Source organism: Homo sapiens, chromosome 6, assembly GCF_000001405.40.
Source record: "Homo sapiens chromosome 6, GRCh38.p14 Primary Assembly".
Taxonomy (NCBI): Eukaryota; Metazoa; Chordata; class Mammalia; order Primates; family Hominidae; genus Homo; species Homo sapiens.
The window spans coordinates 93,252,402-93,264,964 of record NC_000006.12 but is presented as its reverse complement, the minus strand read 5'-3'; the positions used below and the strand labels follow the sequence as shown (position 1 = coordinate 93,264,964).

Sequence of the window (12,563 nt, the reverse complement as noted above, 5' to 3'; positions counted from 1 at the left end):
CAACTAAGCAGGAATATAATCATTCAATAAGGCATTTATACGTTCTTTTGTAGCTGATAAATGGAAAATATGTGAAAGTATTGTCCTTACAAGTTCTTTAAAAGGCAGAAATAAACATTTATTTAAATTTACTTTGTTACAATATAATGCAGTTATTTAAAATTATAAAGAATTAAATAGAAAAGATAACTCTAATTTTATTTAACCTTTCAAGTTCTTGCATGGTGTCAAGTATTTCTGAGCCTATTTCCTCTGTTTACAGCTACAGCTGTCTCCAGTGAACAGAATCCTGTTATTATCATTGCTGTGGTTGCTGTAGCTGGGACCATCATTTTGGTGTTCATGGTCTTTGGCTTCATCATTGGGAGAAGGTAGAACACAAAGTTGTTCTAATCTCTAACATAAAATGTATTGTTTTTTAAGAATTATGTCAGCCTATTACTTAGTGTAATAAAATTTTAAATAGTAAATGCAAACATTCTTTGATATAAAACATTAAAGGTCAATAATGTGTCATTCCTTCAAGATCAAAATGGAATATGAGTTTGATCACTGCCTTTCATTTAAAGAGAATGAGTATTGCAGTTTTTATTGGGTGAATATTTTTGCTTATTTTCAGAGTTAAGTTTTCATAATAAATATAGAATATACCTGGGGAAATGTTTACTCTTTTAGCTATTAAATGTTTGTGGACACCATTTAAAAAGTTTTTCTTTTCCAGAAAGAAATATAAGTAAACATTCACCTGTGACTATTTGTGACTCATGAATATTTTTGTAAATTGAACCTTGTGGATTCAAATCATACTGAATTTTGTGTATTCAATCTAAATGTATTTTTTAAAATGTTCCTTTTACATTTTCTCACACAAAAAGTTTGTTTTCTTTGCAATTTTAATCGTGAATCGCTATATTATTACTAAATGGATTCATAACTATGAACAGTAAATTTAACTCTAGTAAGTTGTTGAGTAACTAAGGTACATTGTACTGAATATTAAATATATAAAGTAAAATGACTGAGATTGTCACAAATTTGCTTTCTTCAAGGCACTGTGGTTATAGCAAAGCTGACCAAGAAGGCGATGAAGAGCTTTACTTTCATTGTAAGTGTTTGGCTTTTCTTTATTATGATGTACCCCTATTAACAGAAAAATCTGGTTATTAGCATTGGCATTAACAAAGTCCTCATGCATCATGCTTGAAATTATACCATGAGCTCAAAATGTTGCTTTAAAGCATTTGAATCAGATGTTTAGAATTAAAATCATGTGATGTGAATTTGAAAAAATAAAATATGTTCAGAAATGTCATATAATTGCAGGATATTCAGCTGCTTTTACATCACAATGTTTCATTTTGCAAACTTTGCCCAAGTGTTTCTTACCATCCTAATAATAATACATTAAAGGTTGCATGTGCCCCTTCTCTAGCTAAGGAATGTCATGTCAGGTTACAAAGATAGGCCCTTTTTTAATCCAATGAGTGATGCTACCACAAAAGGCTAAATTAAGGAGCCTCTTTCTCTTCAGCTACTATAAATTACCTATCATTGATAGATATTTCATAGGACATAAATAGTATAATAATAAGATTCATACTTCTGATGTTTTCCTATGGATTTGAGTTAGCTTATTCTTAAAAGTTCATTTTAGAAATCATATTTAGAAGAAAGCTTAGGGACCCAAATAAAATAGATGCCTATCTGCATTAATCTTATTCTTGTTGCAATGAAACAAGATGGCATGTGAAAATGAGAGCACTGAGAGTAACTGTTATTACTTTATGTAGGCAAAATCAAAACCTAACAACCAAATTACTTCAGTTATGATAGTTGATGATGTTCTTACCTTTACCTATTTTCCCCATTTTTAATCCTTAAGAATATTAAAAACCAATTTTATTATTATTTTGTAGTACCCATAATCTTTGGCAAATGTTCTCATGTGTAGATAAATTTCCCATGACATAAGATGTAAGAATTGTATCTTTTGTTGTGTTATTTATTAGATTCTTATGTCAATATCTGTGAAGATACTGTCCTATACCCATCCTAAAGTCATAAGAATATCAAAGCCTCCATCAAGAATTTCTAATACATTTTAGATTTTCTTTGTGATACTTTTTTTTTAATAAAAAAGCTCAAATGACAATGTGTGGTTTAAATACACAAATTGTAAATGCTCTTATCATTCCTAAATTTTCTCAATGTGTTTGTATTTTTGAACCAACAGTTACCTTTAGTTTTCAAAACAGAAGTGCTTTTATGTAACACAAATACAAATTGAATAAGAAATTCTCTTGAATCTCAACCTCTGATGATAAGAAGGGCATGTGGGGTAGTACAATTTACTACAAATTGAAGTTAAATGTATGCCCGGAAGTGGCTTTATTATAAAGTTTAATATTCAAGGCCTCTTACTTTCACAGGCCTTTTTTAGGCCCTGGGAGTGCTGTAGCAAATTTATGTATATAATCATGTATTCTTTCCCCTAAAAAAAGTATCCCAAACTGTATATGGGGTAAGCCTCAAAAAACTTAATATACCCCTGAATATGACTGAATATGTGTGTTTCTATACCCCACTTGGGATTATTTGATATGCCCCCAATGTCAGAACTTCCTTTTGCTAATCTGGCATTAATTTTCCTGCGACAAGCCTCAGTGAAGAGAGAACCATAGGTAGTTTATAGCTAGAGGAAATAGAGAAAAAAGTGGAGGTTACCTTTTTTTGTTTCTATTTAATAACATGTGAGAATATTTTTAACACTTCCCCAGACAGGAAGGAGCAGATCAAAACTTGAATGCCTAAATTTTATTTCTAGTGTAGAATGTATATAGAAGAGTAATATAAGACTGTAGTTCCTGAAATCCCTGGTCCTGCCCATATGTGAACAATTTAATGGCACAATTATTTAATATTACCATAATCAGTATGTCACTTTTCTTTTATTTATTGAGCATATTTGAAATATCCCCCAGTGATCACATACACCAGTTTATTTACTTTTAACTTGCAGGTTAATGCAGAAGGTCAGTTGAAACATGGCTTATCCAAAATTTGTTGTATAGCCTTATGCTTAATTGTCATCAGTCAGTTTTAATATTTTTATGCCATTCACTTTTTTCACATTTCACATCCAGTTTGTAATTAGAAAATATATAGTTGCATGCCTTACTTGCTAATATAGACAAGATAAACTTGCTGTATATAAAGTTTTCATCATTAGAGAAAACTAGCAATGGTGGTTTTAAGATATTGAAATTTCATGAGAAATCAAAATAATATTTTAAAATACAAAAGTTCATACTCAAGTTGGGATAAACCAGAATATTCAGAAATAATGTCAGTATTTTCCTTATTTTAAAACATTCATTTTTAAATGAATAATGAAAAAAGTGCACTTAACATATCCTATCCTGGTAAATTCTTAATATTTTGAGTCACCCTTTTTCCAAGGATATGTTTTCTTGTCATTTGATTAAAACCAGGTATTTTATTTGATTTTATGATTACTTAATATAGAAAGTATAATACTGTGGTAACCAGCTGTTTACAAGTTGCTGTCTTTTTATTCCTCTATTTAGTACATGGACAATTTTCCCAGGTGCTAGAACACCAGATTGAATTTTTACAGAAACTTGAAAGCAACCATTTAACTAGCTTTTAGAGCACTGAATTTAATAGAATGTCCAGTCATTTGTATCAGGCACCCTCAACTTTTCATGGCCCCAAGTGCTACATTTAAAGATATAAACACAATGGAGGAATTTAGTGAAGCAATTCGAATTTACATTTTGTTTCCTCCTACCATTTCTTCTAACAATGTCTTCAAATCCAAGCTGGGCAGTATTTCATGTTTTTATGCCAAAAAAAGCTCTGGTCTGTCAAAATGTTTTATGACAGCTTGAATAAAGAACCATCAGAGACCGTTTGAGATGCAGAAGGTTACCTCCAATCTAGCTCCCTTATCAAAACAAAATTTTAAAAAAATGAAAGAAAGAGAGAATAAAAAGGGAGAAGATGGCTCATTCTCCATCTGCCTGCCAATCTAGGAGGTTAACCTATTGTTTTCTTCCCTTCTCTCTTTTTCTCTTCCCCTTTTCCCTATACTCCTTCTTCTCTCTTTTCTCCTTCTATCCCCTCTCTCTTTTCTTCTCGTGTTGTTTTTTTTTTCATCTTCAGCTTTAGTAACAAATGAGCATCTGTCAGTTTTATAAACTGCAACAATAATTGTTTAAGACAATCAATTTTGGATAAACAATCAACTACAGCAGAATAAATCAAGATTTTTAAATCCCATTTTCCTTTATACATTTTGCTTCTTTTTGTTATGTGTTTACTTTTAAAATATAGTTTTAATGTGATGACATAAGCACAGTTAGGCTGCAGTGTAATATATAAAGAAATATATTGTTCTCCAAATAGTAAGATTTGATGAAAAGATTGTTCAGTGGCTTTGTTAAAACAATAAAGTTTTTTTGAGGATATAGTGTAATTTTTATTGCATTAATATAACCAAATATATGCCTATCTATCTTATCTTTGTCTTTTACCAAATAGATTTGGAATACATTATTGTAATTGAATTTTATTTAAAGTTGACATAGTATTATCTGTTACCTGCATGCTTCTGGGTGCATTTTAAGAAGATTTTAACTTTTAAGATTATTCTATGTTGTTTGCATTTTGACTACCTTTTGTGAGGCATATTGGCTACCTCCTCAGCAGTTAAGATCTTCCAGAGCCTTATAATTGAAAGTTCATATAAACCATTCCTCTTTCAAATCGCTGTCATACTTGGTTAACAGATCCCAGGAATATTGTAAATTTTCTAACTTTACTCTGCATTTTGTATATCTGGCCTCTATTGCCCTTGAAGGTGAAGATGAAACTGTCTTTAGAAGATATCTCTTTGATTCTGTGATAGAAGTCCCTCACATCTTGTATTAATTTTATGTATATATCAACGGTGGTTGGTCTTTAAAAAAATAAATCAAAAGAATAAGTAAGATGTCTAAATGTTTTTAATATTGCTGTCAGTGTAGTAGGCTACCTGTAAATGAAATGTCTTCTTTTCCCAGTGTATTAATTTGATTGATTGACTGACTGGTAGATTTACAAATGTGTTTCCAAGTCCATTACAAACCTTAATATGGCTTGAACTATGCCATGATAGCAGTGAATTTAATTAAACCTCCAGTCTGATAGGCATGTCAGAAATTTTGGTGAATGTCTTTTGTTGATTTACTGGAAAAGCAATTCAGTTAGTAACCTATGAGCTGGATCCTATGTTACCTATAGAAGCTTGCAGATAATACCTATACGCCAGCAGACTGAAGTAGTCTGTTAAAACTGCTGTGAATCAGGTGATGTGGAAGCAAGTTCACTGTTCCAAGGAGCACTCTGCATAATGAAATTCCTGGGCTGACTGCACAATAAGTGCTTTGCTTCATCACAGTCATGCTTTCTTACATCATTACAGTTAAATTTCCAGGCACCAAAACCTACATTGACCCTGAAACCTATGAGGACCCAAATAGAGCTGTCCATCAATTCGCCAAGGAGCTAGATGCCTCCTGTATTAAAATTGAGCGTGTGATTGGTGCAGGTAAGGCTATTGTAGCTTCCTCGTTCAGCTGTTCCATTTAGCCAAGATCGAAAGTCATACATCATAATGACAGGCAAATAATTATCCCTCAAGTATAGAACTTTTGCATTTACCTGAACTGTTGGAAGCAGTGAGGCTGTACTTGTTTATGAAATCTTATGAAAAAATGTGAAAAACTAGCATGTGGCACAAAGAATCCATATATTTTTGGTTTTCTGTTGGATTTTTAAGATATTGTTCTACTACAAGCTACTTTATAATAGCTCTGGCCTGTCATTTAAGAAATGAATTTGTATTTTTAAAAGGTCAGAAATTTCCAGAATTTTGCTGCACATTTCCTTTTACTTGATTTACTGTCTTCTTACAAAACTTTCATTTTTATCTTTTCTCTTGTATTTGTAGGTATTAGCCATTGTACTTTAAATTCATGTAGAAAATTAATGTGTATGAATTAAAGGGAATATTTTCTATATGTATGTATTTTTATACTAATTATACATTTCTGATTCTAATTCCTTTAAATCCAGTAGACATAGTGCATATAAATTCCAGATTTTAAATATTTAATAAATATTTTCTTCTCAAAATTAAAAGGAATAGCAATGTTTAGAATTTGCTGATGTGTCCTCATGCTTTAGTAGGTAGTCTAGGTAATATACTAATATAATATATATAAAAAAATTTTTAAATATATAATATATAATAGCATAATTCAAATCTAAATGTTGACCCTGAGTGTTGGTTAATTCAATTGAAAAATAGTAGCCTGTTTAACAGTTTAGGAAAGCGTAACTTCTATGAAAGAGCTCTGAACTGTATCTTCAAGTTTTAATTTCATTTATGCCATTATTTTCATAAACAACTTTTGTGTCTAGGAAATAGACTCCCCTATATATGGGAATGTATTCAGTGTAACTCACAGGGCTTTACCAAGTATTTTTGAAAATATTTTAAAATGCTTTCAAATAATTTACTAAAAGTTAAAGAAAAATAATTCAACGCATTTACTCTTAAAAGAAAATTACAATATTTAGAAACTAAAATATGCCTGCTTGTTCTGTTACTTCAGGAGAATTCGGTGAAGTCTGCAGTGGCCGTTTGAAACTTCCAGGGAAAAGAGATGTTGCAGTAGCCATAAAAACCCTGAAAGTTGGTTACACAGAAAAACAAAGGAGAGACTTTTTGTGTGAAGCAAGCATCATGGGGCAGTTTGACCACCCGAATGTTGTCCATTTGGAAGGGGTTGTTACAAGAGGTAGATATTGGTTATATCTTTATTTTATCAAAAAGACTGAGTGTCAGAAATTAGTATTATTATGTACACAATAAAACAAATTATGAAATATGTTGCACAGTCTAAATGAATGTGTTTTCTTGGTATGTAACTAATCAAAAAATTCTTCCTTTATGTTATCACCTCAAGGGAAAAGAAAGCAGAAAAAAAATGAATGCAAGATTAGAGTTGAAGAATAACTCTGATAGATGGAATGACTGATAAATGTTTTTATTTCTCTTCAAGAGACATAATAATTATGCAATATAGTCTTTACATTTTACATAAAGTGTAATTTTCTCTGAGTTTTACTCACAAAGCAGGAGTCAGAAGAACACAGTGACTTTTATTTATATGGTTTAATTTTATGAATCATGACCATCTTCCAAGCAGACATATAATGACTTTTTGAGCTTAGCAGCAACAATAAAAGAAATGCTCATACTTCTCACACTCACTCTTTCAAAAGAACACCATGTGTTTTATTGGGGGATGAGAAAGGAAATGACCCTCCAGCTCAGGTTACGACTCCTGAAACTTTTTTTTTTTAATTTTAGGGAAACCAGTCATGATAGTAATAGAGTTCATGGAAAATGGAGCCCTAGATGCATTTCTCAGGGTAAGTACCAAAGTGATCCACTTATTCTAAATATACTATGCTTGCTACCAATATAATTTTATGAACTTTTTTTGCAATGTAAAATGAGAGCCTTGTAAAATAGTAAGAGGTTAGAAGATTGTCTTTGAAAATCAGATTAATAATCAGAGTTCAAGACTAGATTAAACTAGAATATTTTGAGCATTGAAGTAATACAATGTGGTCAAGAAGTTATTTCCATTAATATTATTACCTGAGGTATGGAGGATGCCCGAAGCCCTGTAATTTGAATTCATGTTATAAAACAGTATATACAATTGTAAATGAAATATAGAGATAATATGGAAAAGACTAAAAGGTGAGATAACCATTCTGTGTTGACACTATGATCACAACTCTGCTCTGTAGAACCATTTCTATTTTATTGTTAGGTGAACACCAAGCATAAAATGTATGACTATTAACATTATTTTTCAAATTAATGGTATGTGGTTTATTTGTAAATGACATATAAATCCAGAATATATAAACATAGATATTTTTATTCTCAGAGGCTTTTTAACTAAGAATATTAACATGTGAACATTTTTCCAAATGGCAAAGAAAAAATAATCTAAAGAAAAAGAGAACATGCAAAGTTATTTAATATGATCTAGAATCATATTTAACTCAGGCGTATAAACAGTCATAGGATTTAGAGAAACTTTTATTGCTGCATCATCATGATAAAAGTATCAACTAGAAAATTAATCAACTCAGACTAGCATACTTCATCCAGCATGTTTATATTCAGCTGGAGTAATTTTTTGGTTAAAATGGGTTGGAAGTGGCCAGTCTGGTTGCAAACAGTTCTCAATCCCATTTGCTAGTACATCTGTCCTAGAGAATCCTTGTTACAAGTAATGCTCCTATCAGTAGCAAAACTAAGAAAAAATGAAATGGAAACAAAGTGGCCACTACAATTACTTTCTACATTTTAGTTTCTCTTCATTTTGCCTCAAATATTTCCCCCGTTGCTCTTTTTTAGCATTTAGAGGAAAATAAACCTTATTATATGTATATTAATTTCTTTATATACTTTTATATTATTTAGACTTTTTGGCATGTGGGGAAAACACTTAGCTATTGGGGGTAATTTTTTAGATACTCTATTTCCAAACTTAAAAATTAGCATATACTTTTGGACTTGTGCAAACTCAAACTGTTATTAGTTCATTTTAAAATATCAAATTAGTATAAATAACTAAATGATTACCAAAATTATCTTATTTGGCTGTCAGCTAAATAAGCATGTTATTTTTTTCCACAGGTATCCATATTATATAAAAAATTAACAATTCCTATTATACAATAGCAAATTGCTAGCACGCAGATATTTTTCATGGTGATTTTTGTCCCTTTTAAAGTATGCAGTTAACTGGGCTTTTATTTTTGTCTTCCTGCAGAAACATGATGGGCAATTTACAGTCATTCAGTTAGTAGGAATGCTGAGAGGAATTGCTGCTGGAATGAGATATTTGGCTGATATGGGATATGTTCACAGGGACCTTGCAGCTCGCAATATTCTTGTCAACAGCAATCTCGTTTGTAAAGTGTCAGATTTTGGCCTGTCCCGAGTTATAGAGGATGATCCAGAAGCTGTCTATACAACTACTGTAAGAAAAAGTCATTTACTGCACTTCTTCATATTCTTAAGATTTTTCTACCACGAAAGCAGGACCTAATAATGTAAAACTAAACAGGAGAAATGAAGCAAATTGAGCTAAGCATTTTGAGGTTGCTTTTTTTGTTTTTTGTTTTTTGTTTTTCTGGAAGAATCATTGTTTGTACAATATATATATAGACTAAGAAGGAAAGTGTTGATAACATGACTGCCCTATATTGGGAGAGTCATAGAATATAGTTACGTACAAAAACATCTAGCTACTAGCACTCATATTTGTAGAAAACTGTAATCACATTTTAAATAAAGATTTAAAGGAATATTAACTATGCTAATCCTTATAACTTTTGTAAGATTAGAAAAAAAGAAAATATGTGAGAATGTATTTAAATTATCCATATTTTATTTCATTTTCATAGTAACTTTGCCTAGTTTGTCTTTGTTGTGGCTGTTGTTGTTGTTGTTGTTGTTGAGATGGAGTTTTGTTCTTGTTGTCCAGGCTGGAGTGCAATGGCACAATCTTGGCTCACTGCAGCTTCCGCCTCCCGGGTTCAAGCAATGCTCCTGCCTCAGCCTTCCGAGTAGCTAGGATAACAGGCGCCCACCACCACGCACGGATAATTTTTTTTTGTATTTTTAGTAGAGACGGGTTTACACCATGTTTGCCAGGCTGATCTTGAACTCCTGGCCTCAGGTGATCCACCCACTTCGGCCTCCCAAAGTGCTGGGATTACAGATGTGAGCCACAGCACCCAGCCTGTCATTGTTTGTTCAATATACTCTTGCCCTAACACCACACAAATCTCAATCAGTTGAGTTGCCTTGTAAACTTGAAATGATGAAACTTGTAATGGTATTCTAAAAATCAGATAAATAACTTTAAATACGCATAGAGATTCAAGATGGGTAGACCTGATGCTGCTGAACTACCAACCAAAAATGCACATATGTATTTATGGTATTGCCATAAATAATATATCAGTTATTATACATATTTAAAATGTTCATTTCTTTTTATAACAGGGTGGAAAAATTCCAGTAAGGTGGACAGCACCCGAAGCCATCCAGTACCGGAAATTCACATCAGCCAGTGATGTATGGAGCTATGGAATAGTCATGTGGGAAGTTATGTCTTATGGAGAAAGACCTTATTGGGACATGTCAAATCAAGATGTAGGTGTTACATTCATTTAAACAAAAAGGATTGAATACATTAATGGCCAGTATTACTGGAACATGTAGGTAAAGGCTCATTAAGAACACTTTTAAATAATTATAAAAATACAGTTTTCCACAATTACTACCACACTAATTACCATAAATTAGTGGTTCTACTAATTTTATTATTTTGGCTTTCATTTTGAATAATCACTTTCTCTTTTTATAATATAAATTCTATGGACACAAAATAGAAGCTTACTAATGATATTTCCTCCTTAATAAAGATAATGTTTCCACACTTGCACAGCTGGAGTGGGAGCATCACATGAGTAAAAGAATCATTTGTGAAGAGGAGGGAAGGAAGTTTGGTTGTGCTTTGTTTTGTCTTTGAAGCTTATCTTTTTCTTTTAGTGTTCTAAGAAAATTCTTTAAATTATCTACTGTTGATTGGTTTAAGTTTTAGTTTCATGGGACAATCTAGATTTTATGATCAATATTAGTAAATGTTTCATAGTGATATTTTAGAATGTAATCACAATAAGAATATCTTTGGAAATTCCTTTTAAAAGTATATTTATTAAATGTACATACCCTGTTGCCATGAGGACATGCTAAAACATAAAACATACTGTTTTCCGTTGAGAAAAGAAACTGATGGTAGTCCATGTGAGCGTGTATACATCTCACACCAAGAGACCACTTATAAAACAATATAGCAAAAGTGCAAAAAAAAAGTTGCTTTTATTAGGTTGAGTTTGTTAAAATGGCCATTTTGTAGGCCAAGAGCACTTATAGTTCAACCTATTGAAATATGAGTGAAAATTAGATAAATGTAGAGCCAGTATGAAATCTAGGAAGATATCCAGGATTGTACTAAAAATCTGGTGGATACCTTGGTTCAGAGCTGATGAGCCAATTCTCTAAGGAAGCACACTGGAAAGTTGAGAAGTTAAGGTTTAGAGGTGTATGAAGACCGATCAAATGGACTCACTTTTCTATAACAGAGATGTAGTACACTTGTGGTAATTAGAAATGAAGATGTAGGTTTGGACAAATTGATGAAGGAGTTTTCAGAGGAGTCTGGAAATGATACTAATGCAAATTCTTGGAGTGTGGAGTCAAAAAAATAAGTAGTGTTTAAGGAAAATCTACATTGGGTCTTAAAACTTACAGTAGTGATTTTTAGACAACTAACATTTAGACTGTTTTATATGTTGTTGATAAGGTTATTTTTGATACTTTCCCTACAAATTTTTTCATTAACTGAGAAGTCCACAGTCTGAAAAGAGGAAGGTTATAAATCAGTTATATCTATTGATATTTTGAATTGGATGATGACATAAAACTTTTTCATTTGCTTTTTGTTTTGTTTTTGTTTTTCAAAGATAAAAGTCTAAATGATGAGTCTGTTTGGCAGAGGCAAAGTTGTTAATATTTGACAGGTCTCAGTGTCAAAGATTTCATGGACTGTCAAAATTTGGACAAACAAATCCTTAGGGCAGAGAAAGAGAAATATTTACATTCCCTAGACACTCCATGGAGTTTCATTTCTTTTGACACCTTCCTTCTGTATTGGATTCAAACATAAAGGGACTGACAGGACTGACAAATTCAGAGTTCACTTAACTTCCAAAAACAAATAATGGAAATGGTTAAGAAGAAAAAAATTAATTTCTCCAATTTTAAATTTTAAAATGTGTTAAGTATTGTTTTTTGTTTTTCTTAAAAATGAACATTATGAATATAGCCTTACTATACCAAGGATTAATATTTTATTAGTCAAATGACATAATTATGTCTATTGTGCAGTTTAGTTTTAACCTAAAATATTTGGCACATTCTTTAATTTTTTTATTTAGGAGGTCTAAAATAATTAATAAATTTGGTCACAGGTTTGTTTAGCAGTGAGAGATTACCTAGATAGGTCAGTTTGTACAGTGAAATTGATATTCATATTCTTCTTATTAGATAATATTCATTATTTTATAATTATGTCAGTAGAGTGCTATTTGAACAATTATATGTTTAATTTTCAATATGCAAATGGAGAAAAATCAGATAATTTAGGATAATGATTTCCATTCTGGGATAAAATTTTCTAGATAAAAGCTTTTTTCTAGGAATCTGTGGTAGGAGTTCATGGAGAGACTTAGATCTATGAACCCCTGTGAACCCCTGATACATGTGGAAACTGCTGTGTATGTGTGAATATATTATTTTTTTTTCTGGGAAGGTTGCCTTCCTCAGATTTTCAGAT

General features: G+C 31.5%; 1 protein-coding gene across 10 annotated transcripts in view; it reads left to right on the top strand.

Annotated features, from left to right (window-relative positions):
- The window catches only part of EPHA7 (EPH receptor A7), a 179,540-nt gene that overhangs the window by 154,595 nt on the left and 12,382 nt on the right, over positions 1 to 12,563 (top strand). For 3 of the 10 annotated variants that reach the window (NM_001288629.2, NM_004440.4, NM_001376470.1), the window contains exons 8-14: positions 263 to 371; positions 1,050 to 1,105; positions 5,486 to 5,611; positions 6,681 to 6,866; positions 7,442 to 7,503; positions 8,928 to 9,137; positions 10,169 to 10,318. In NM_001288629.2, coding sequence (NP_001275558.1) covers positions 263 to 371; positions 1,050 to 1,105; positions 5,486 to 5,611; positions 6,681 to 6,866; positions 7,442 to 7,503; positions 8,928 to 9,137; positions 10,169 to 10,318 — 899 coding nt within the window. Of the gene's footprint in view, positions 1 to 262; positions 372 to 1,049; positions 1,106 to 2,009; positions 2,153 to 4,185; positions 5,013 to 5,485; positions 5,612 to 6,680; positions 6,867 to 7,441; positions 7,504 to 8,927; positions 9,138 to 10,168; positions 10,388 to 12,563 lie in introns of those variants that run through there. The other 7 variants (XM_047418274.1, NM_001376468.1, NM_001376471.1 and 4 more) reach the window with 4 other exon arrangements.